This window comes from Homo sapiens, chromosome 20 (assembly GCF_000001405.40).
Source record: "Homo sapiens chromosome 20, GRCh38.p14 Primary Assembly".
Lineage (NCBI taxonomy): Eukaryota > Metazoa > Chordata > Mammalia > Primates > Hominidae > Homo > Homo sapiens.
The window spans coordinates 18440752-18465865 of NC_000020.11; the positions used below are offsets into that span (position 1 = coordinate 18440752).

The 25114-nt window shown below is 40.7% G+C and overlaps 1 protein-coding gene across 31 annotated transcripts in view; it reads right to left on the bottom strand.

Moving 5' to 3' along the window:
* The window catches only part of DZANK1 (double zinc ribbon and ankyrin repeat domains 1), an 83664-nt gene that overhangs the window by 57385 nt on the left and 1165 nt on the right, over positions 1-25114 (bottom strand). For 5 of the 31 annotated variants that reach the window (XR_007067462.1, NM_001367617.1, NM_001351684.2 and 2 more), the window contains exons 2-8: positions 24499-24626; positions 19402-19555; positions 14496-14610; positions 12980-13076; positions 11864-11988; positions 8233-8318; positions 2596-2713 (exon numbers count right to left, since the gene is read on the bottom strand). Coding sequence is in view for 28 of the 31 variants with exons in the window: in NM_001367617.1 (NP_001354546.1) it covers positions 2596-2713; positions 8233-8318; positions 11864-11988; positions 12980-13076; positions 14496-14610; positions 19402-19555; positions 24499-24607 (804 nt within the window). In the remaining 3 variants the exon portion in view is untranslated. Of the gene's footprint in view, positions 1-841; positions 2177-2595; positions 2714-8232; positions 8319-11102; positions 11212-11863; positions 11989-12979; positions 13077-14495; positions 14611-19401; positions 19556-24498; positions 24629-25114 lie in introns of those variants that run through there. The other 26 variants (XM_047440251.1, NM_001367611.1, XM_047440250.1 and 23 more) reach the window with 13 other exon arrangements.

The following is a 25114-nucleotide window of genomic DNA, read 5'->3' on the forward strand; positions in this document are numbered from 1 at the left end:
CTACATCCATTGGGCAGGAGGCACAGAGTGACAAGGGTAACAAGACTGTCAGTTTCATCTGGGTCCCACCTGCCATCTCTATCTGAGTTTCAGGGTCCCATCCTTTCTCAATTAATGGCCTAACTTTCAAATAAGAAATCTGGTGATCAGGTGAATTTAACAGACATTATAAGTCCCCAACATATACAATACAATTTTTGTTTGATTTTCATCAATATAACCCTGGAGCTACAAGAAGTATATTATTTTGGGCTGTCATAGGAGCCCTCTGGTTCCTGCACCATGACTTAAAGGTCCTGAGCTTGTCGTTTTCTTTCTGTGAATGCTCCCATGGACTCAGGAGAATACATCCTCCACCACAGTTTTTGTAGTCATTGTCACTGTCATAGAGTCAAGTGCAGCAGTTACTTGGCCATTCAAGATACTTGCTTCAATTGGCACGTCATCACAATCAGCCACAGGTGACAGCCTGATTAACTGTGATGCCCCCTCATGCTATGGATCACCAGTGTCCCATTTCCCATTGGCAAGGAGCTCGGCACTGTTCCCAAGCAAAGGACAAGACCAAACCACTTCCAAAATCCCATTTCCCAGTTTATTTCCTGGGACCAATCCCACTACCAATTCTGTATCAGTCAGAGTCCAATCAGGACATAGAAACCACAACTAATTTGAACAGGAAAAGTTCATATAAATAGTTATTAACTGGTATCCAGGGATTAACTACTAATGGGTAAAGCAGATTCTACATATACAGAAATTCCAAACATAGGGAGGATCCCCTACCTCTGTGGCTGAGACAGAGAACCGAAGGAGGATCAAATTTGGAAGAGGCACTTACTTTGCCCCACATCCAAGGCTGAAATCAGACTTCATTGAATTGAGTGTGGTTGTCACCCACCGGATGGCAGAGAAGTTCACTGAGGTGACACAGATCAGAGCCAGCAAGGAAAAAGCCGCCCACTGGGATCCAATGAAACTCATTAGGAATTCCTCATCTAGGGAACTGGCAGAACATGTTGGGAAGTCAGATACAGAGATGTGGCTGGAACTTGCTGGAAAGTTGCTACTGGGATGCCCCAAAGACTATCTGGGAAGCTGGCTGGGGTGCCAGTGGAACTGAGAAGCGTCCATGGGACAACACTGAAATTCACAGGGTTCAGCACAACTGGGTGTCCTACAGGTTAGCTCACATGGCAAGAGCAAAGAGACAGGAGAGCACACACCTCTGCATCTCTTTACTGAGACTCTCTGAGTCGTGGGTCTAAGTAGGATCCTGCCCCTTTGACTCCTAGAAGCCCAGCTCAGAGCAGGACACAGTAGTACTCAATAAATGGTTGTTAGCTTAAATTACAAAGCTGTTATACATTATAGTCTATTGTTGCACTAATAGAAATATAACTGGGGGGCAATCTAGGTGTTTTAAAGTTCATAATGTTAAATATTTATAATCACTGATAACCTTTCCTCCCTGTAAAAATGAAGTTAGTTGTGAAAATCCCTTTCCAGGCAAGTAGAAAATAATTTTGGTATCGCACCAACTAGTATAAACAGAGAAAAATCAACCAATGGGACTTGTTCATATTTTGTTTTCTGTATCGTCTTCTTTCACTAACACATTTAGTCCAGAATCTCTATAAGCTGCAAACATATCAATGAATTTGGCCCAATTTGGTGTTATAGTCTGTTTTTATTTAAAATCGACTCCCACCCTTATTCCCTAAGATTCTGCCATTATATATTAGCAAAATCTTTAAGGAGTTTAAAATGTATCACTGAAGTAAATTAAATTAACTTCTACAAAAATATTGAGCAATATATTAGAAAAATATTAAAACAGCCATTTAATACCTGACCCCTTGCTTGAGGCATAACTCGAATCTAAAACTCTGGACTTGGAACTCACTCAATTAGTGACTTTTTCTTAGTAACTATCTTCTTAAAAATTGTAATTTTTCACTCAATATCACAGATCCCTTTATTTCATTTTCATCCCTTTATTCCAAGTCCAAAAAAAATCCCCAAAATATCAAGTGCTTAAAAGATGAACACATTTTGGTGAAGGTTTTAATTTTTAGCAAGCCAAGTATGTTTTTTAACTATCTACAAAATTAGTAGTGAGATATCAATTATTATCTATCCTAAATCAGCCAAAGCTTTTAAATTTAAATATACAGATCAATCTATAGATTCTTTGGACAGAATGATGCATCTTATGGATATATAGATATATAGAGACATAAAGTAATTGGTAGTTCTCTTTATTTATTTCTAGAATATATTTCCTTATTATACCCAGGATATGAGCAGAGCTATCAAATGAGTAGGAAACATTTATTTATCCATGCATGCCTCATTAAAACAATAAGATTCCAATCTTTTTTAAGCCCGTGCTTCTGGCAGGCCACACAAAAGACACAGCATTGCAAGTAAGTTTTTCCATGCTTAAGTAGGAGTGTGTAAGAGTTCAATCAGCCAGTAATTCTTCAACAAGTATTTATATGTGCAGTTCATGTGTACCAAGCACTGTGTTACTGCTGCAAATAAAGATCAGATCAACCAATGAAAGATGTTTTTAAGAATTCTGCTGCTCACCTGAGCTCCTTCTGGGGGTGGGAGACGACAGCCAAATATGGGTGGGACAGGAGAGCCACATTCTTGACAGAAGCGAGCAAAGGGATCTGATGGCCGGGGGGCAAGGCAGTGGGCACACCTACAACAAAACAGGTTCCCGATTGGCCATGTTCTGGTGGGCCCACATTAAGAAGACTGATAAAAATCTAAAAGCGGTCAAACAGTTTTAAACACAAAACAAAAGCAGACTGCTCTCAATGGCTATGGAACAAGTTCAAGACAGGAAATACTTATCTAGGTCATTTGGTCATTTTATTGGAATAGTGGCCTTGCAACTGGACCCTCTGGTGCCCTTTCTGCGTAGGCCAAGTCCATATAACTTCTTGATCATGGCAAGAAGTTTATCAGCAGCCTTGGCCCCACTTCTTGCTCGGGCTCTGGCTTGTCCTGTCACATTGGATTTGATGTGTATGAGGGTGAGCCCTGGGAATTCCAGCAATTTTTACATTATGCTTTTCTGACTTTCTACCATTGAGCCCAGTCTGAGGGACAGGGCTTCTTGCCTGTGCCTCAAACCCATCCTTTCTCTTTGCCCACCTTTGCTTAGAGTCCTCAGGCCCTGCCCCAGCAGCATCTGGCCCCATTTCTTATGCAGCTGGACCCATCGTTTAGCTCCCACTCATCTAAATGGGTTCTGGCTATCTGCCAAAGTGAGAGCATTCTTGGAATTAGGCTGCCCTAATTCCTTTCCTGCTACTGCCATGCCTTTCCAGACAAGTTGGCTCCTGATCCTGTGACCTATTGATCTGAACAGCTCCTCAGCAACTAGAAGGCTTGGATACTGTGCACCGGATTGTCTCGTTGCCCACACTAGTCTCCACGTTGGAGCTGAGCTCATTCCCACACTCTTATCCTATTTAGTCCTTCATTACTGTACCATGGCACCAAGGTTTCACCATCTCTCTGGCATGGGCCCACCCGCCAGAGCAACAACAGTTCCCTCTTTTCTATGCTTAAAGCTCATGAAGTGTAATCTGACTATCTCATTCCACTGATTTGAATTGAAGACATAGAGCTGGGAGTCTCAGAAGGTCAAGGTAACTGGAGCTTTCAGGAAAGAATACCAGAGAAGAGCTGCAGGGAGAGTTTCAGAATTTTGCAGAGGGTCACCCTCAAGTCTTCACCTGGGTACTACTGATGAGTGCATGTGATGGAAGAAACCACTCAAGGTTAGAAAGTAAACACCAAAGGGTAACAGAGAAAACAGTCTTCAGGATTCACACAGGGCTGCAAAGCTCATGCTTACACCAGCCAAAGTGGAAAAAATTCATATTTACCGAGGTATCAGTTAGAATACTCTATATATACTCTAAATACTCCAATTAGAACATAGGAGTTGTCAGGTATGGTTTTTTTTAAAAAGCTAGGCCTAACTATATGCTGCTCAAAAGAAACCAACTTTATATTTGTTTGTTTATTTATTTATTTATTTAGAGACGGAGTCTTGCTCTGTCGCCCAGATTGGAGTGCAGTGGCATGATCTGGACTCACTGCAAGCTCCACCTCCCGGGTCCATGCCATTCTCCTGCCTCAGCCTCCAGGGTAGCTGGGACTACAGGTGCCTGCCACCAAGCCCGGCTAATTTTTTTTTTTTTGTAGTTTTAGTAGAGATGGGGTTTCACTGTGTTAGCCAAGATGATCTCGATCTCCTGACCTCGTGATCCGCCCACCTCGGCCTCCCAAAGTGCTGGGATTACAGGCGTGAGCCACCGCGCCCGGCCAGAAACCAACTTTAAATAGAGACATAAATAGATTCAATAAAGGGAGGTACACACACATCAAAAGAAAGCAGGAGTGACAACATTAACATCAGAACAAGTAGGTTTCTGAGCAAAGAATATTAACAGAGTTAAAGAAGTTTATTTCATAATGATAAAAGGGTCAACTTAGCAAGAGGACAAAAAAATCCAAAATGTTTATGTACTTAATAGCAGAGTATCAAAGTACATGAAGAAAAACTGATAGAAATGAAATGCAAGAATAAATAGGCAAATTCATAATTACAGTCATATATTTCAATACTGCTTTTTCAATAACTGATTACATGATAAACAGAAAATCAGTAAAGATAGAGAAGACTTAAACAATACCATCAACTAACTAAACCTAATTGATATTTATAGTACACTCATTCTGGCAGAATACACATTCTTTTAAAGTGTACATAGAACATTTACCAATCAAATCATATATCTTTTCTGACCAAAAGTAAATAAATTTGACATAAGCACCAGGCCACGTGTACTGGCTCATACCTATAATCCCAACAATTTGGGAGACTAAGGTGGGAGGATCACTTGAGGCCAGGAGTTCAAGACCAGCCTGGGCAACTTTGTGAAAACCCCACCCCTGCCACAAAAAAATATATATATACAAGGTTTTTTGTTTTGAGACAGAGTCTTCCTCTGTCGCACAGGCTGAAGTGAAGTGGCATGATCTCGGCTCACTGCAGCCTCCACCTCCTGGCTTCAAGTGATTATTGTGCCTCAGCCTCCCGAGTAGCTGGGATTGACAGGCATGTGCCACCATGCCTAATTTTTTTTTGGTATGTATATTTTTAGCAGAGACGGGGTTTTGCCATGTTGGCCAGGCTAGTCTCAAACTCCTGGCCTCAAGTGATCCTCCCACCTCAGCTTCCCAAAGTGCTGGCATTATAGGCATGGGCCACCACGCCCAGCCAAAAAAAAAAAAAAGAAAAAAAGTTTTTTAATTAGCTGGGTGTACTGGCACATGCCTATAGTCCCAGCTACTTAGGAGGCTGAGGCAGGAGGATGCCTTGAATCCAGGAGTTTGAGGCTGCTGTGAGCTATGATTGGGCCTCTGCGCTTCGGCCTGGGTGACAGAGTGAGACCCTAAGAAAGAAAGAAGAAAGGACGAAAGGAAGGAAGGAAAGAAGGAAGGGAGAGAGGGTGGGAAGGCAGGAAGGAAAGAAAGAAGGCAGACAGGCCCAAAAGATACAAGGAAAATCCTCCAGTATTTGGAAATATAATAAAACACTTCTAACTAACCCATTGCCCTCCCTACAAAATAACAAGGATAATTAGAAACTGTTTGAACTGAATGAAGATGAAAACACAACATATCAAAATTCAGAGACTGCAAGTAAAACAGTATTCAGGGGAAATGTATAGTTCTAAATGCCTATGCTAGAAAAGAAGAAAGACTTCAAATCAGTAACTTCATATTCCCATTAAAGAAACTAAAAAAAGAACAAATTAAACCTAAAATGTACTCCAAAAGAAAGATTAATAAATATAAATGTACTTATATCTATTAAAGAAATCTAATGTGTAGTTAAAAATCTTCCTGAAAAAAAATCTTCCTGAAGGAAAACTCCAGATCTAATCATTTCACTTGTGAATTTCTACCAAATATGTAAGGAAGAAATAACACCAATTTTACATAAACTTTTTCAGAAGGTGAAGGAGTGAAAACACTTCCTAACTTATTCTATGAATCTAGAATTATACCGATACTAAAACCAGACAAAGACATTAACAAGAAAAGAAAATCCCCCAACATCCCTTATGCAAATGCTGGCAAAAAAAATTCTTTAAAACCTTTTAGCAAATCAAATTCAACATTATATAAAATAGATAACACTTCAGGTAGATATATTTCAGGGATGTAAGGTTGACTTAACATTTGAAAACCAATCATTGTAATTCACCACATGAACAGAAAAAGAAAAACTAAATTATCCTCTCAATAAATAGAAAAAATGCTTTGGACAAAATCCAACATCTATTCCTGATTTTAAAAAAGAAGCTCTCAGCAAATTGGAAACAGGTAAAAATTTCCTCAACTTGGCTGGGTGTGGTGGCTCACGCCTATAATCCCACTACTTTGGGAGGTTGAGGGGAGCAGATCACCTGAGGTCAGAAGTTCTAGACTAGCCTGGCCAACATGGTGAAACCTCATCTCTACTTAAAAAAATACAAAAATTAGCCGGGCATAGTGGCGCATGCCTCTGTCATCCAGGCTGGAGTGCAGTGGCACAATCTTGGCTCACTGCAACCTCCGCCTCCCGGGTTCAAGCGATTCTCCTGCCTCAGCTGGAGATCCCAAGTAGCTGGGATTACAGGCGCCCACCACCACGCACAGCTAATTTTTTGTATTTTTAGTAGAGATGGGGTTTCACCATGTTGGCCAGGCTGGTCTTGAACTCCTGACCTCAGGTGATCCGCCCACCTCAGCCTCCCAAAGTGCTGTGATTACAGGTGTGAGCCACTGCACCCGGACTATAATGCATTTTTTTAAAGGCCAAAAGTTTGAAAGGACACTTTACCAAAGAAGATGCATGGATGGAAATAAGCACATGAAAAGAGGCTCAACATCATTAGTCACTAGGGAAACGCAAATAAAAACCACAATGAGATACTGTTACAATCTCATTAGAATGATCAAAATAAAAATAAAAGTTAGTAAGGATACAGAGAATTCTCCTCCACTGCTGGTGAGAATGTAAAATGGAACAATCACTTTGGAAAGCAGATTGGCAGTTTCTTAAAAAAATATATACCTATCATATTCCTCTTCAAGGTATTTGCCCCAAGGGAAATGAAAACGTGTATACATAATGACTTTGGGGTTTTAAAAATTATTTTATTGTATCTGTTAATTTTTATCAATTTATTTATTTATTTAGAGACCAGATATGAGACTGGATCACTTTTGTATATACAGTAACTTTTGTACAAATGTTCACAGCAACTTTATCTGTAATAGCCCAAAATTGGATATAACACAAATTCCCATCAATAAGTGAATGGATAAACAAACTGTGGTATATCCATACAATGGACTGTAGTTCAACAATAAAAAGAAACGGATGTTTGTTACAAGGAACAACATAGATGAATCTGAAAATAGTTACGCTGAGTGAAAGAAGTCCAGCATTAAAGAGCACACACTAAGTCACTTCGTTGACATATTGAATCACATGCAAGTTAAACTATAGTGACAAGAAAGAAATCAATAATTGCCTGTGATGAGCGGGGGTAAAAGGAAGGGGTTACCAAATAGGGTACAATGTAGGAAATTTTTGGCAGGGATGAACTTACTCATTTTCTTGATTGTGACAGTGTCATGGTTACATACATACATACATACATAGTCAAATGAACTCTAAATACATATGCAGTTATTGTATGTCAATTATACTTTTTAACAGGCTGTAAACATTTAATTTAAAAAGTTGGGGCCGGGTGTGGTGGCTCACACCTGTAATCTCAGCACTTTGGGAGACCGAGGTGGGCAGATCACGAGGTCAAGAGATCAAGACCATCCTGGCCAACATGGTAAAACCCCGTCTCTACTAAAAACACAAAAATTAGCTGGGCGTGGTGGCGCGTGCCTGTAATCTCAGCTACTCGGGAGGCTGAGGCAGGAGAATCGCTTGAACCCAGGAGGCGGAGGTTGCAGTGAGCCAAAACTGCACCACCGCACTCCAGCCAGGGTGACAGAGTGAGACTCCGTCTCAAAAAAAAAAAAAAAAAAAAGTTGGAGGTGGGCAAAAATGTCGTATCTTTAAATTCTCTTTGACCATGATGTATCTTTGTAGGATTTAAGGCAGAGTAAAGAGAATGTGATACTTACTTGAGAAAGTCTGTCTCCCTTTGAATTCTCATTATCTCCGTGCTTGTCAAACACTTCTGACCGCTTACGTGTGCAAAACCGGGGGACTAAAATTAAGAATATAGGTATAAAGACAGAGTCATATAGTCAAAATAACATGGTAAAGGCTATGGTATAGTAAAATTCCATTAAAAATCATTATGGGTGAATACACATAGACATATAAAGAGGAATAATAGACACTATAGACTCTAAAAGTGGGAAGGGTGGGAAAAGGCGAGGGCTGAAAAATTACCTATTGGGTGCAGTGTTCACTATTTGGGTGAAGGGTACCCTAGAAGCCCAAACCTCACCATTATACAATACATGTAACAAATCTGCACCCCCTGAACCCATAAAAATAAAAAATTATAAAAATAAAAAATCATTATGAGTAATGTAATTATTACTCTAGTATCTAACATTTCTAAATTATTTAAAGTGCTATTCACAATCATATATCTATATTTCATTAAAAATGAGAGTTTACAATAAAAGATACCTGAATTTACCATGAGACAGACCAGATTTTAGGATTTAAAAACTTTAGTATCCCAGCCTGGCCAACATGGCGAAGCCCCATCTCTACTAAAAATACAAAAAAAAATTAGCTGGGTGTGGTGGCGGGTGCCTGTAATCCCAGCTACTCGGGAGGCTGAAGCAGGAGAATCGCTTGAACCCAGGAGGTGGAAGTTGTGGTGAGCCAAGATTGCACCACTGCACTCCAGCCTGGGTGAGAGTGAGACTCTGTCTCAAAAAAAAAAAAAAAAAAAGTAAAAATAAATAAATAAACTCGGCTGGGCACAGTGGCTCATGCCTACAATCCCAGCACCTTGGGAGGCAGAGGTGAGCAGATCACCTGAGGTCGGGAGTTCGAGACCAGCCTGACCAACATGGAGAAACCCCGTCTCTACTAAAAATACAAAATTAGCAGGGTGTGGTGGCGCATGCCTATAATCCCAGCTACTCAGGAGGCTGAGGCAGGAGAATCGCTTGAACCCGGGAAGCAGAGGTTGTGGTGAGCCAAGATCATGCCACTGCACTCCAGCCTGGGCAATAGAGTGAAACTCCGTCTCAAATAAATAAATAAATAAATAAATAAATAAATAAACAAACAAACAAACAAACTTCAGTATCTATTTTTCTCAAAAACTGTATCTCTAGGAAACTCAAAGGTCTGAACTTAGGACTACAGGCTCTATCCTGCAGGCAATAGAGAGCAGTCAGAGGTTTCTCATTGCTTTTGTGCCACATCTAACATGGCCTAGGCTGGGTGTAGTGGCTCACATTTGTAACCCCAATACTTTGGGAGGCTGAGGCAGGAGGATTGCTTGAGGCCAGGAGTTCAAAAATAGTCTGGGCAACATAGTGAATCCCCATCTCTACAAAAAGAAAAACAAATAAATAAAAACATAACATGACCTAGACCAGAAGTCTCAAAGTGGTGGTCTATTAGGCAAATCTGGCCTGCCATTGAGTTTTATTTGGCATTGGCTCCCATAGTGTTTCAAAATTTTAACTAACAGTCAAAACTTTAAATTATGTTATTACACATAAAGATGTAGTTTTCTGCCTTCTCATGCAAATTCATTGGATGTAGCAACACTGAGCCTTCAGTCCCTGGGTGATTCTGATATGCAACTGGGTTTGGAAACCATGCTTTTCTCCTTTATACTTGATGGTAAGTGTGAGCAGCCATGCAATCATGGGCACACAAGGAGCTGTGGTTACACAGAAAATGTGACTCCAGGTACATTAAACTTGGGACTCAAATAGGAGGAACAGAACAAGGGCTCCTGGGTTGCCCTTAGATGCCAAAAGTCCAAATTGGATTTTATAAACATTGAAAAACCAAAGCACTATAATAGTATAGTAGGCAACTAGTGTAAGAGCATCTTTCTTGTGTTATAGTAGTAAGAATGCACTGATATGCCTTTTATTTTTATTTTTATTTTCATTTTTGAGATAGAGTCTCACGTTGTTGCCAAGGCTAGAGTGCAATGACACAATCTTGGCTCACTGCAACCTCCGCCTCCCCAGTTCAAGCGATTCTTCTGCCTCAGCCTCCCGAGTAGCTGGGACTACAGGTGCGCGCCACTATGCCTGGCTAATTTTTGTATTTTCAGTAGAGACGGGGTTTCACCATATTGGCCAGGCTGGTCTCGAACTCCTGACCTCATGATCTGCCTGCCTCAGCCTCCCAGTGTGTTGGGATTACAGGCGTGAGCCACCACGCCCAGCCAATATGCCTTTTATTAAGGTCATAAGTCACCTCTATCTTGTCAAAGCCAATGTGAATTTCCAATTGTCTGTCTTTATCTAATTAGAACCTTCAGTAACATATGACATAGATGATCTTCTCCTTGAAATTCTTTCATCTCTTGGTTTCCATGGCAACATATTCTTTTGGCTTTCTTTCTACTTTCAGGCTCCTCCTCCCCTGCTCAACCTCTAAGTTGAGGACTTTCTTCATTTTCCTTCTCTTCACTTTCTGTTCAGCCTTGACTAGTGATCTCGTTCAGACCTAAGCTTCAAATACCATCAACATATTGAATATTTCCATATTTCTAAGTACATATGTCCAGCTCTGACCTCTCCCATATGTGAACTTGCACATCCAACAATCTACTCAACACCTCCACTTGGATGTCTAATGTGCCCTTGGACACCTGCTCGTCTCTCATCTTTTCCAGCTTTGTCAATGGCACCATCATCTCCAGATACTCAGGACAAACCCTGAGAGGCAGACTTGGCTCCTCCCCTTCCCTCTCATCCGTCGGATCCCTCAGCAAAGCCCGCCTCCTATCCTGACCACCTCTACAACCTTGGTCCAAGTCACCATCATTTCTCACCTGGAACAAAAGCCTCCTAAATAATGTTCTCCCTTTCCTCTTCCATGGTCTAATCTCCATACTGTGGCCAAACAGAAAACTTTTAAATGTAAATGGGACTGTGTCTTGCCTGCCAAACAGATACCATTTACAATTAGAATAGAATTCAAACTTCTTACGGTCAGACTAGTATCTGTGACTCTCAACCATACCTGACCGTTAGAATCATTTAGGGGTGGTTTTTTTTTTTTTTTAACGATGCTCAAACCCCACATCAGACCAATTAAATCAGAATTTCTGACGCTAAACCTTGGGGATTGGTTTGAAGCTCTTCAGGTGATTCTAACGTGCAGCCATGATTGAGAACCACAGCTCTAGATACTCTGGCCCCAGCCACCTTCTCACTCATCTCCCACCTTGCTCATCAGGCCTGAGAATGTGTGTTTCAAATAAGTTCCCACGTGATGCTGATGCTGCAGGTCTGGGGATCGCCTCTGAGAACCACTGCTCTATCTCATTACCATGTTATCTTCTTCATGACGCTTACCACCATTTTAAATTTTCTGTTTATTTACTTAAAATTATGTGTCTGCCCCCAAGCCCAATAAAAGGTAAGCTCCATGAATACAGGGACTTTTCTTGTCCAGTACAGTATTCCCAGCACTAGAACAGTGCCTGGCACATGGTCAAAAGTGGGGGAGGTGCAGTCTTAAAGTATTTCATGGGAGCATTAAAAATATAGGAGGTATTTGAATACCCTAAAGATTGTCCTTAGAAGTTACCTGGGACTGGCGGGTGGGTGGTCTAGAACCTGATCCTCCACCATAAGCTGGGATTTCCAATGGACTCTCTGAAAAGTGAAGATCTTTCAAAGTTTTAGGGTCAGTTCTTTCACCTACCTGGACGTCTACAATGATATTAAAAACATTATTCTTTGAGCATCTGTAATTATACATAATCATACAAAGATATCTTCACAGCGGGAGACCTTTTAATAAAGAACCACTGTCACCACATTGCTTCCCTAGAAGTAACAATTATATAAAGAGCTCCCGCCACACACTCAATGCATTAGAAGTGAGAAAGAAAAAACAAGCCCAGACTGAGAAGATCATCTTCCCCGCTGCATTCTACAATATTCCACTTCAGGCTGGGAAAACAGACAGATCAATCCAGTTGCAAAGTTAGCAGGAAATATTATATCTCCCAAGAGCACACTGCAGCTGTAAATGTCGTTAGCAGCCCCCTCTTTGCATGCCTTGTCTTTCTTACTCACTGAGAAACCCTGTTCTCTTAAATCACAGATTATCAGAAACTTTGCTGTTTGAAATTCTCAGTAAGAACGAAACATTCAACTCTTGCCTGGGGAATCTAGGCCACTCTGACATAGAGAAGCAGCTTCAATGTCCAACCCTGGTGCAGAGATAATCATTTCTGAACACAGTGTTCCCCATGTATCTTTGTAGTTTCCAAGGCAACAGAACCCTGGGTCCCCTTCCTGATGCTGATACCCTGGGTCCATACCTGATGCTGATCCCTTCACACCCAGACCAGCTTCGCTTTGAGACTATCAAAACTCTGCTTTCATTTATATTTCACCCAAACTCCACCCTTCCCCCAAACCCTACAACTCCAGCATTTCCTCTGTTTGGTTAGATGCCCCCATGGCTCCCGGCAGTGGGTCAAGAAATCTAACTTGGTTGGACTGCTTGATCCTCCTTCATGATCTTAAGCTGTAAGCAAGGACGTCATTAAAATTCAAAGTACAGCATACTTTCCTGCCCCAGTGTTTCTTATTCCAACACTTCTCCAGACAAGAAAACATGCAACGAACATGCCATGAACCTCTTCGGTGGGTTCAGAATACAAAACCTTGTCTTTGTTCTGTCACATCATACCTGGAAACTTTCTAAGGTTAACATTCCAGCTGCGTTGATTTTCAGAGTTCTTATATTTTTTCTTTAGTTTTGATCCAACAAATCCATTTTTGAATTCCTAGGAATGAAGAGATTGCATATCAATCACTTGGTTATTCCCATGTGAGAATTAAAGCTGCATGATAGAGAAAGTGTCATGGTGTGCATTTCTTATTTGAAAGAGTTTATGGTCATTTGTACAAAGTGACCCCTGTTTCACTTTATTCTGGAAACATGCAGCTTTGTATCTGGACTGGGCTGCTCAGCTGGCAGCACATCTGGATGTAGCCCTCACCAGGTGAAGTGGCCAAGGCAGGAGGCAGGGAGCAGCACATGCAGGCAGGATGTTACAACTGTGGGAGTCTGGGTAACAACAGAGGGACCACCAAGTCCAGAGGGCAAAGGCAGGGTAGAGTCAGACCAAAATCAGACTTCTGCACACCACCTGCCCACACACAGTCCTTAAACACTCTTCTCTCTGGACTTTCTCCATGGACTTGGTCCCTCACACCTGATTCAAGCCTAAGCACTTGCTGACATATGTTGGCTTAGCCCCCGAAGGCGGCCCCTGCCCAGTGTAGATCCTTGCCTTGATCACACTTGAGTCCCACCCATGCCTGCATCTACCAACCTCCTCTCTAGCATCAGGTTCATGGTCAAGCTTAAGTGAAACCCCTATAAACTTCCTCTGTCAATCCCAACAACATCCCTGTGACCAAGACCTCTGGGTTGGCCGCCTTACTGTAGGCTAGCCCATCCTCTGGCCTAACTCCTTGAATCTTTCTTATCGATGCTCACACCCAGTGCCTGAAGCGTCACACATCCTTCTCAGATGGATCTAATTGACTCTTCACAGTGGGGAGGCTTTGCAGATATTTGGGAATAAAGATTTCAACATAAAAGAATTCTATGCCCACTGAGGACTTCTACTTAATGCATCTATTCAGCAAATACACACTCACCACCCTCTCCTGCCTGCTCCTGTGCAAGGCAATGAGTATGGCAACCATGCCACCTTGGAGCTTATAATGCATAGGCAAGATAAACAAGGAACAAAGTAATCACATGCTCAAAGCAGTTTATAAAAGAAGGCCTGGGTGCCAGGATAGCAGTGATAGGGCATAGCAAACACACTCCAGTTTGGTTGGAGTATATGTAGGGGGTTGACAGACCAGGAAAAGCTGACCAAGGGCAGAAACTGATGACTTGGATGGAAGGCTAAAGGTTTCTGGTTTTTTCAGTAGGTAAGAGAGAGCCACTGAAGACACTGGAGCATGGACCCCAATGCTCAGCAGGAACTCTCATCTTCAGGGTGGATAGGAGACTGACAAAAGGCTGAGAAATCAGTAAAGATGCTTTGCAATGGTTGATAATGACTTCAGTTATAAGGACCTGACTGTGAGCAGAGGTAAGGTAATAAAAGGCAAGATCTGCTCACTGAGAAAGAAGGAACCAAAATACAGTGACAATCTGAATGGATTATAGTTTCATTACTTGCCTGCCTTGAAGAATCTTTGAGAACATTTTCAACATTGTCTTCAGGAGAGACTATATTTGGTGGTTCATAGTCTACGTGAAACACCTTTGTCACAATGCCACTCTGTCTGCAGTCTCTGAAAATTATTATTAAGAAAGGAAAAAGTCTGTGTTACACAAAGATTTTTTAAAAAGTGGCTAACAAGATGATTTTATTAAAGTGCCTTAGTCTAGCTACTAAATTTATTGTATTTCAAATTGAAGAAATCAAATGTAATTTCTATAGTCTTTCCTGACCTCCTTCCTTTTGGGCTATTTACTGCTATGTAACAAACCACCCCAAAGGTAGTGCCTTAAAACATGAATCTGTGGATTCACGGTCCCCACTGGGTAGGTCTCATTTGAGCTCTTCCATGTGGCTGCCATCAAACATCAGCAAGGGCTGGAGTCAACTGAAGGCTCAACTGGGCTGGATGTTCAAAATGACTTCTCTCAAATATGCAAAGCCTGGGCTGGGGTAACTGGAACAGCTAGGGGCTCGCCACTCATCACTCTCACTCAATCTCCATCCCTCTGTCCCTCCCTCTCTCTCTCATGTGGTTAGCTTGGGCTTCCTCACAGTATGGAAGCCTCAGGTAGTCAGACTTCCTCCATAGTACCTGACTACCCCAATCCCCTGCCAGTGTTTTTGTCCCAAGAAACCAAAGCAGAAACTACAATACTTCTTGTGATCTCAGAAGCCCTTGGCATCATTTCTGAAACATTCTATTGGTCAAAAGCAAGTCACAACACCAGCAGAAAGGTTACAAAAGGGCATAAATTCTGGGAGGCATAGTTCATTGGGGGCCATTTTTGAAGACTATCTACCACATTCATCATAAAGATATCAGACCATAAGCCTCAAACTATTCTAAAACAAAAAATGTGTTGCCTAGGTCATTCCACATGAATCAAGAGCATTTTCCCTGTCTCAGCTGTAGACAGTGTAATATATGCTGCTCTGGTAGATTCTGTAACTCAAATACTATCATGTTTTCCATTCATTCATAATATTTCACAATTCATCTTGTTCTCTGATGCAGTAAGAGCTTCATAAGAAGACAATGTAGCCGTGCCCATGACTAAAAACTAGTGGTGATGTTATTTCACTACCAGTAGCTCACCTATACTCTATTTTTTAACAGCTTTATTGAGGTATAATTTACATGACATAAAATTCATCTATTTTAAGTTTCTGGTTCAACGGAATTCAGTCAATGTAATGTACACAATTTTGTGAGTATCACCACAGTGGAAATATTTAGGACATTTCCATCACCCAAAAGAATTCCCTTGTGCCTGTGTGCAGTCACTCCTATCCAACCTCCTAGGCAACCACTGATCTGTTTCCTATCTCTATAGTTTTGTCTTTTCTAGAAATTTAACATAAATGTAATTATACATATGTGGTCATCTTACGTGTCTGGATTTTTTATTTATTTGTTTTTTTTTGGAGACTCATCTATGTTGTTGTAACTCGTTCATTGTTATTGTTGAGTAGTATTCCATTTTATGGATATACCACAATTTTTATGTCCATTCCCCAGCTGATGGTCATTTGGATTATTTCTGGGTTTGGGCTATTATGTATAATGCTGCTATGAACATTCATGTATAAGTCTTTATGTGGACACGTTTTCATTTCTCTTCAATAGATACTGAGGAGTGGAATTGTTGGGTCATATGGCAGGTATGTGTTTAATTTTCAGAAACTGCCAAACTGTGGCTGTTCCATTTTACATTCCCACCAGCAGTAGCTGAGGGGTCCAGCTTCTCCACATACTTGCTGACACTTCATATTGTCAGCCTTGTTGATGACCTGTACTCTTGATCATGTTCTCTGTAGGTATTTGCTTGATACTTGTCCCTTGTCTATCAAGATATAGGCTTGGTCGTTGTAACACAGAATCAAAACAATAGTGGCTTTATGGCAGGGCACGGTGGCTCACTCCTGTAATCCCAGCACTTTGGGAGGCCAAGGCAGGCGAATCACTTGAGGCCAGGAGTTCACGACCAGCCTGGCCAACATAGCAAAACCCCATCTCTACCAAAAGTACAAAAAATTAGCTGGGTTGTGGTGGTGCACACCTGTAATCCCAGCTACTCAGGAGGCTGAGGCACAAGAATTGCTTGAACCCACGAGGCGGAGGTTGCAGTGACCCAAGATCACACCACTACACTCCAGTCTGGGTGACACAGCGAGACCCTGTCTCAAAAAACAAATGAACAAACAAACAAACAAACAGAGGCTTAAACAAGACAGAAGTAATAGGGTATAAGCAGTCTAGAGCTAGGTATAGGGGTGTCATGGTGACAGAAGCACGATAGCAAGTTTCTACTTGGTTACTCCATCATTTCTATGACATTGCGTTTATCCTCATGGCCCAACCTGACTGGCCAACCACATCTACATTCCAGCCAATTGGAAGCAAAGCCCACCCTTTCTCTTTAAAGGTACAATCTTAAAGTTGAACACATCACTTCTACATGTATCCACTGGCCACAGCCTGGTACACATCTCTAACTAGCTGCAACGGGGATTGGGAAATATCTTCTAGGCAACCATGTGCCTGGCTAAAAATCATGGGCCCTATTATTAAAGGGAAAAACAGATATTGGGGGACATCCAGCAGCCTCTGCCACATCATCATGACCACGCTTGGCGAATTTATTTGATGTGTTTAACTCTCACCCCTCCTCATACGCATTGAAAGCTCACCTTTCCTATGCTGTCCTTTCCATGTGATTATGGCTCAAAAGTTACCGCAGCCAGTGTTTCTATTTGACCTGGCCAGACTCTTAATACTTTTTATATTTCCAATTATCTTCTTTCTTCAGTGTTCTTTGTCTGCTTTGCCCTTACTGATTTTCATATGATCTTTAATACACATTGTCTGGCTCATTAGCATTTCTTCAGCAACTGCTCAGATTTCTTACATGCTCAACTTTTATATTTCTTAAAATTTTTGAACCTTGAAGCAAATAAGTATCCCTGGATCTTAGGGCGGAAGATTTATGAATCTTTAAATCTGGTTTTGTTGTTTTTTTTAAAGAAGAGATTTAAACAGGGAAATTTAGCCACCTATGAGTCACTCCAGCCAGTGAACATGCAAGTGTCTTCTGATCACAGAAAGCTGAGATGTTATTTCTAAATACTGTCACTCACAGATAGGTAGTGGCTATTTAGATGAATTGTGTATTTCTTAGAATTTTTTTCTCCATCTTCAAGAAAGTTAGCTTAAAACTTCTATGTTGTTTAATGTTAAACAGATTCATAAATCTGGTTACAGATATAGATGATCTTTTAGATGAACCACTTCCTTAACTTATTCGCCTCAGCATCCATCTCATCTGTATGTTCACCTTTGGCCCCAGGCCTGTCATTCAAGATCCAATTGTCCTTCCTGTTAACACACACTTCCCAGGCATCACAAGCCTCTCCATCCAGGGATCACCTGAATCTTGGATGGTCTTGATGCTCCCAGAACGCACACTTACAACCCCACATGAGGTCACATGAGTAGAGGCCTGGCTCATATCCACCTATTCTACCCCCTAAGATCCAGGTTGTTTCCCCCACCCCAGCTGGCCCTTCCTTGGGGAACCAGCTAAGGCATTCACCTTTTGAGTTGAAAACTCAAACGTTTTTAAATAAATATTTTCCCTAAGCTGAGCACATCTGAAATACTAACAGTACCTTTCAGAATAGACACTTAGTGGACACAGAGCAGAATGGTGAGAGGCATAAAGAATGACCTTATTTTTTACTCTCTCTTGAAAGCCTTATTAACTCCTTCAAACTGCATAGTCAGTCATTAAATTGCCTCTTCATTTTACTACTACTTGCAGCTTCTAAGGAGGCCTGCTTTACAGCATTTGGCCACCAGAGTATTGAGGTTCTTAATTTTTAATAATTGAGATGACTTACCTTGATAGAAGTGGCCTGGCAAGTGTGACAACATTTTATAAAGAATAATAACGTGCATATACTCCATTTGCAGCACACACTTTAAAACAATAATAATGTGCATAAAGGGGTTGTTTTGTTTCATTTTATTTGTTATAATTTTCAGATGCCAAGGCAATCATGTTTGCTGTGGAATGTGCAGCTCTCCTCAAAAAGCCATGCAGTAATTCAGTCAGTGGGGGGTGGGGCTAGAGTCCTTTAAAGTACCTGGGCCAGCCAGGTACTGCATTTGGTTTGGGGCTTTTAAATGTTCCCAAAATGTGGCCAAACCTGCATTGCTGGAAAAATAATTCCTATATCACAGCCACACAGAATTGCAAGGATTTGAGGTTTTTTTTTGTTTTGTTTTGTTTTTTGCCTACAACACATGGTGAAGGTTGCCAAATTAAATAGTGTTTCTATATTTGAAAATGGGAAAAAGTCATTAAGAAAAAAAAGGATAAAGAAAAAAGTATGGTAGCTAATGTCCAACAAGTTGAAATGACAGTAGCTTTGAAGGCCAATTAAGTCGATACAAAACGAAATCGAGAATGACGGCGGTGGTTGTAGGCTGCATCCTGGGGAATAAAAGAGCCACTCCGCGAACACAGTATTTTCTTCAGAGCAAGATGGAGCTCTTTAGAGACCCCCGGCCCTGGAAAGGATCTTCCTTCCTGAAACCCCAATGTGGAATTTAAAATAAAAACAGTATTAATATACATAACACTTCACTGAGCTGTATACTTATGATTTCTGCACCTTACGGTATGCCTCAATGAAAGGCAAGTAAAACACAAATGTTACATACATATGCTGAAATTAAAATAATGTTTCAGTAGTGTCCTTCTAATGCAGCACTGATTCTGATAGGAAAAAATGAATAAAATTAGAACATAATGTTATTATATCATAAATTAAATTAATCACCATGCTCTTAACTTACTTAGAGACAGCAATAGCTTTAACTTGTATTTTTCCATCAGGCAGAGTAATAGGTTTTATATACTTAAATGTGTTATTTTCCCCATAACCAATTCTCTTTAGAAATTCAGGTTTGCTGCCATCCAGAGTATAATATATGTTGACATCTGGAGTGTCTGAAAAATCCAAAACAGGATAACTATAATTAACACCAAAGTAGCAAGTCCCTGAATAATGCCTATAGGTCAGTTTAAGATCTAAGTGTGTGATTTAAGATTTAAAGTTGTGATTTAAGTTAAGATTTAAAGTTGTGACTTAGGACAGGCATGTGGCTCACGCCTGTAATCCCAGCACTTTGGGAGGCCGAGGCGGGCGGATCACGAGGTCAGGAGTTCGAGACCATCCTGGCTAACATGGTGAAACCCCATCTCTACTAAAAATACAAAAAATTAGCCGGGCGTGGTGGCAGGCGCCTGTAGTCCCAGCTACTCAGGAGGCTGAGGCAGGAAAATTGCCAGAAACCGGGACGCAGAACTTGCAGTGAGCTGAGATTGCGCCACTGCACTCCAGCCTGGGCAACAGAGCGAGACTCCGTCTCAAAAAAAAAAAAAAGTTGTGATTTAAGATTGTGTTAATCTCCTTAAATAACTGATCTATAGGTTATTATATATACATAATGGAAATGAATAGTAATAGCAATAATGCAGTTCTTTCTCTGTACCAGCATTGTGCTTTACTTGAATGAGCTCATTTCATCTGTACAACCCTATGAGGTAGGTCCTATTTTACACCCATCTTATAGATGAGATAACTGAGTCCCAGAGAGATTAATAAAGTTGCTAAATAATAGAGGAGTTGTGATTTGACTTCTGCTAGGTTGGATACATAGCCCCTGCTCTTGAACCACTATGCTCTTTTGCCTCTCCAACAGGGCACTGACACAAACATGATTCAAGATTCAAAAGGTCAAAAAGGGTATACAGTGAAAAGTCTCCCCCAACCCACGACACCAGCTTCCCAGAGGTTATCAATGGTATCTTCAGTAACCTTCAAAAATATTTTATATCCATACAAGCATCTATGTACATATTCTTATTTCTCCCTCTCTTTTGACACAAATGATGGCATACTGTACCCTGTTCCACATATTTCTTTTTTCATTTATCAGTATGTCTTATATTGGTACATAAAGAGCTCCCTAGGAAATAAATTTAAATTTTTTTAAAAAAAGAGCTTCCTCATTATTTGTTATAGCTGCACCACATTCTCTTATATAGATGAACAATAATTTAACCAATTCCCTACACATGGATCTTTAGGCTGTCTTCTTTTTTCCTTTTCTTTGTTTCTTTTGCAATTATAAGCACTATAATAAATAATTTTGTAAAGAATTATTTCTGTAAATATATGGGCAAGACAAATATGTAGAACTAGTTACTGCTGAGTCAAAAGATACATGCATTTGTAATCTTTTTTTTTTTTTTTTGAGACGGAGTTTCACTCCTGTCATCCTGACTGGAGTGCAGTGGTGCGATCTTAGCTCACTGCAACCTCTGCCTCCCGAGTTCAAGCGATTCTCCTGCCTGAACCTCTTGAGTAGCTAGGATTACAAGCACCCACCACCACGCCCAGCTAATTTTTGTATTTTTAGTAGAGACGGGGTTTTGCCATGTTGGCCAAGGTGGTCTCGAACTCCTGACCTCAGGTGATCTGCCCACCTCAGCCTCCCAAAGTGCTGGGATTACAGGTGTGAGCCACCATGCCCTGCCAGCATTTGTAATCTTGATTAATATTTCCAAACTGCCCTCCATGGATGGTTAAGCAATTTACACTGCCACCAGCAATGCATGAAAACACCTATTTGACCACAATCTTCCTCATCTAGTGTGTTATCCATTTTTCTTTTAGTTTTCCTAATTTCCTAGGTTAAAAAAAATACTATCTTGTAGTTTCAATTCATCTTTCTTGCATTTTGAGTAAAACTCACTAATTCATTACAATGAATGTTTGCTGAATACCTATTATGTACCAGACATCATTCTAGGTATAGGGGATATGCAAAAGTATATCTTAGGGGCTCCTTGCATATCCCCTGTACCTAGAATGGTCCCTGCTCTCATGGAGATTATGTTTTAGGAAGGACACTGAAACAGTAAACAACCAAGGAAATGTAGTTTGTCAGGTGGTGATTAAGTGCTTGGAGGTGAAGCAGGGATAAGTTCTGCTCAGCAAGCAGACGAAGGGGCAGAGAGAAGCGTAAGGAGAAGAAATATTTTCATATGTTTAAGAGACCTTTATATTTCCTTTCCTACAAAATGTCTTTTCATTATTTCTCAAAAGAAGATATACAAGTGGCCAACACACACATGAAAAAATGCTCATCATCACTAATCATCAAAGAGATGCAAATCAAAACCACAGTGAGACACCATCTCACACCAGTCAGAATGGCCTTTGTTAAAAAGTCAAAAACTAACAGATGTTGCAGAGAAAAGGGACACTTATACACTATTGGCAGGGATGTAAGTTAATTCAGCCACTGTGGAAAGCAGCTTGGAAATTTCTCAAAGAAATAAGAGTTGAGGCCGGGCGCGGTGGTTCACATCTGTAATCCCAGCACTTTGGGAGGCCCAGGCAGGCAGATTAAAAATACAAAAATTAGCTGGGCATGGTGGCACACAACTGTAATCCCAGCTACTCCGAAGACTGAGGCATGAAAATCACCTGAACCCAGGAGGCGGAGGTTGCAGTGACCCAAGATTGCATCACTGCACTCCAGCCTGGGTGACAAAGTAAGACTCGGTCTTAAAAAAAAAAAAAAAAAAAAAAGAAAGAAATAAGAGTTGAAATACCATTCAAGCTAGCAATCCCATTACTGGGTATGTACCCAAAGGAAAATAAATTGTTCTACCAAAAGGACACATGTACCCATATGTTCCTTACAGCACTATTCATAATAGCAAAGACATGAAACCAACCTAGGTGCCCACCAATGGTGAAATGGACAAAGAAAATGTGGTACATACACACCATGGAATACTATGCAGTGATAAAAAAGAATGAAATCATGTCCTCTGCAGCAAATGGATATAGTTGGAGGTCATAATCCTAAGCGAATTAACACAGGAACAGAAAACGAAATACCACGTGTTCTCACTTATAAATGGGAGCTAAACATTAGGTACAAATGGACATAAAGATGGGAACAATAGACACTGGGGACTACCAGAGGGTGGGGAGGGCTGAAAACCTACAGCAATGCTTGCTACCTGGGTTATGGCCTCAATCATACCCCAAACCTCAGCACCACACAATATACCCAGGTAGGAAACCTGCACATGTACCCCCAAGCCTAAAATAAAAGTTGTAAAAGAAAAAACAAAAAAAAGGTCTTTTCATATCCTTTGCCCATTTTTCTTCTGGGTTACTGTTCTTTTTGTTACTGAATTGTGAAAACTATTTATTTATTTGATATTTACATATTAGGGAATTTTGATACCCTACCATTCATATCATCTTTTGTCAATAGTCACCCAACTTCTCCTAAGAATTATGGGCACATACATTAAAATGTTTAATTTGGTTTGACAGTTTAAAAAATTGTATCAGCTTTTAAGCTAAAGGAGAACACAGATAATAATACATATGCTTAGTTAGAACTCTTGGTCTAAGCAGCACAGGGGTCATAACATAAATGCAGATAGTTTGTACACATTTCAGTTATTAAAATATATAATTGGTTAAAAAAAGGCAAAAATTGGAATTTCAAAGTCTTTTTTACACATCTATTTGTTCATATGTTTTACCTGTGAAACTTTCCTTCCTTATGTTAATTATATATGTGTATGTATATATATGTGTATGTGTAGATATACACACATATTTAAGATTTTGAAGAATACGTATTAGCAGGATATACATTCACTGCTTTATTTCTTTTTTCTTTTTCTTTTTTTTTTTTGAGATGGAGTCTTGTTCTGTCTCCCAGGCTGGAGTACAGTGGCGCCATCTCGGCTCACTGCAACCTCCGCCTCCTGGCTTCAAGCAATTCTCCTGCCTCAGCCTCCCGAGTAGCTGGGATTACAGGCATTGGCCACCATGCCTGGCTAATCTTGTATTTTTAGTAGAGACAGGAGGCTGGTCTCAAGCTCCTGACCTCAGGTGATCCACCTGCCTCAGCCTCCCAAAGTGCTGGGATTACAGGCGTGAGCCACCAGGCCTGGCCCTCACTGCTTTATTTCTGTAGTTAGAGTTGAGATTTATTTTCACATTACTATATGCCAAACCCTGTGCACCTCATACATACACGAACCTATTTATCCTCACAATGGCTCTAAGAAGTAGATATTATTATTCCTGTCTTACAGTGAGGTAACAGACTCAAAAAGGCTAAGTAATGTACCCAAGGTCACTAGAAGTTGTCAAGGCAGGGATTAAGTCTCCAACCTGTCTGACTGGAAAGCCTGTATCAGTAGGTCAAATTTATTATACCAGCTAAATAATGAGCATATTGGAAAAGTTTGGGGAGCACCGGGACTTTTTTTTTTTTTTTTTTTTTTTTTTGAGACGGAGTCTTGCTCTGTTGCCTAGGCTGGAGTGCACTGGCGCGATCTCGGCTCACTGCAACCTCCATCACCCAGGTTCAAGCAATTCTCCTGCCTCAACCTCCTGAGTTGCTAGGATTACAGGTGCCCACCACCATGTCTGGCTAATTTTTGTATTTTTAGTAAGACAGAGTTTTGCCATGTTGGCCAGGCTGGTCTTGAACTCCTGACCTCAAGTGATCCACCTGCCTCGGCCTGCCAAAGTTCTGGGATTACTGGTGTGAACCACCGCACCCGGCCAGCACCGGGACATCTTACCTTGGCTAAGGTAAGTCAAGACATTGCTGAAACTATACAAATGAAAGGTTGGTCAAAGCTAACCATTTTAATCTAAATGTATACCACTCTATAAACCATCAATGTACAGCACTGTTTCAAATTTTAGAAGTTTTACAAATTTCCCAAAAAGCTGAGCAAAGAGTGAGAAAGCAGGCAAAGAGATAAACCAGCAACCAGATAACACAAGAAATATGACAATGTTATTTTAAACAATTTCAAACATATGTGATTCTTACCTGATTTCATTTCCAAAAGCGTATTGTTATCAATTTCATGGTTAGCTTTTCCAGGCTGAGGCACTCGTAATGGTATGATCTGAGGGACACACACTGAACCAGCAGTCATTTTCTCTCTCTCTCTCTCTCTCTATATATATATACATATAAATTCCAATGTACACAAAAGCTGAAGAGCAGCACTTAATTTAAATGCAGCAAAACTAGTTAAAACGAGAGAATACTGTTAACATGGCACTACAAATATTATTCCCTTTTTAATTGAAATAATAATTACATTTCATCTGTATTTGCTGTTGAGGTCTTGTGTGGGGTTTTGATTATCTAAATACCTCACTTCTGCGAAAGGAGCATGAATGAATGAGATGGGGAAAAGAAAGAAGTTACTTTAAAAGGACAAATTAAATGAGTAAGGCAAAACAGAGACTATCACTAACGCTCTGACTTGAGTTCCCTGTAAATCATTATCGCCTTTTCCTGCCTCTGGTGTGTGTCAGCTCTCTTGGCTTCAGGGCAAGTCATCATACAAGGGGAACAGAAGTAATTCTGTGTGTACCACAAAATGTTAGTTAGAGCTAACTTTTTTGGGAAAGCTCCGGGTTCACAGCCTTGCCAT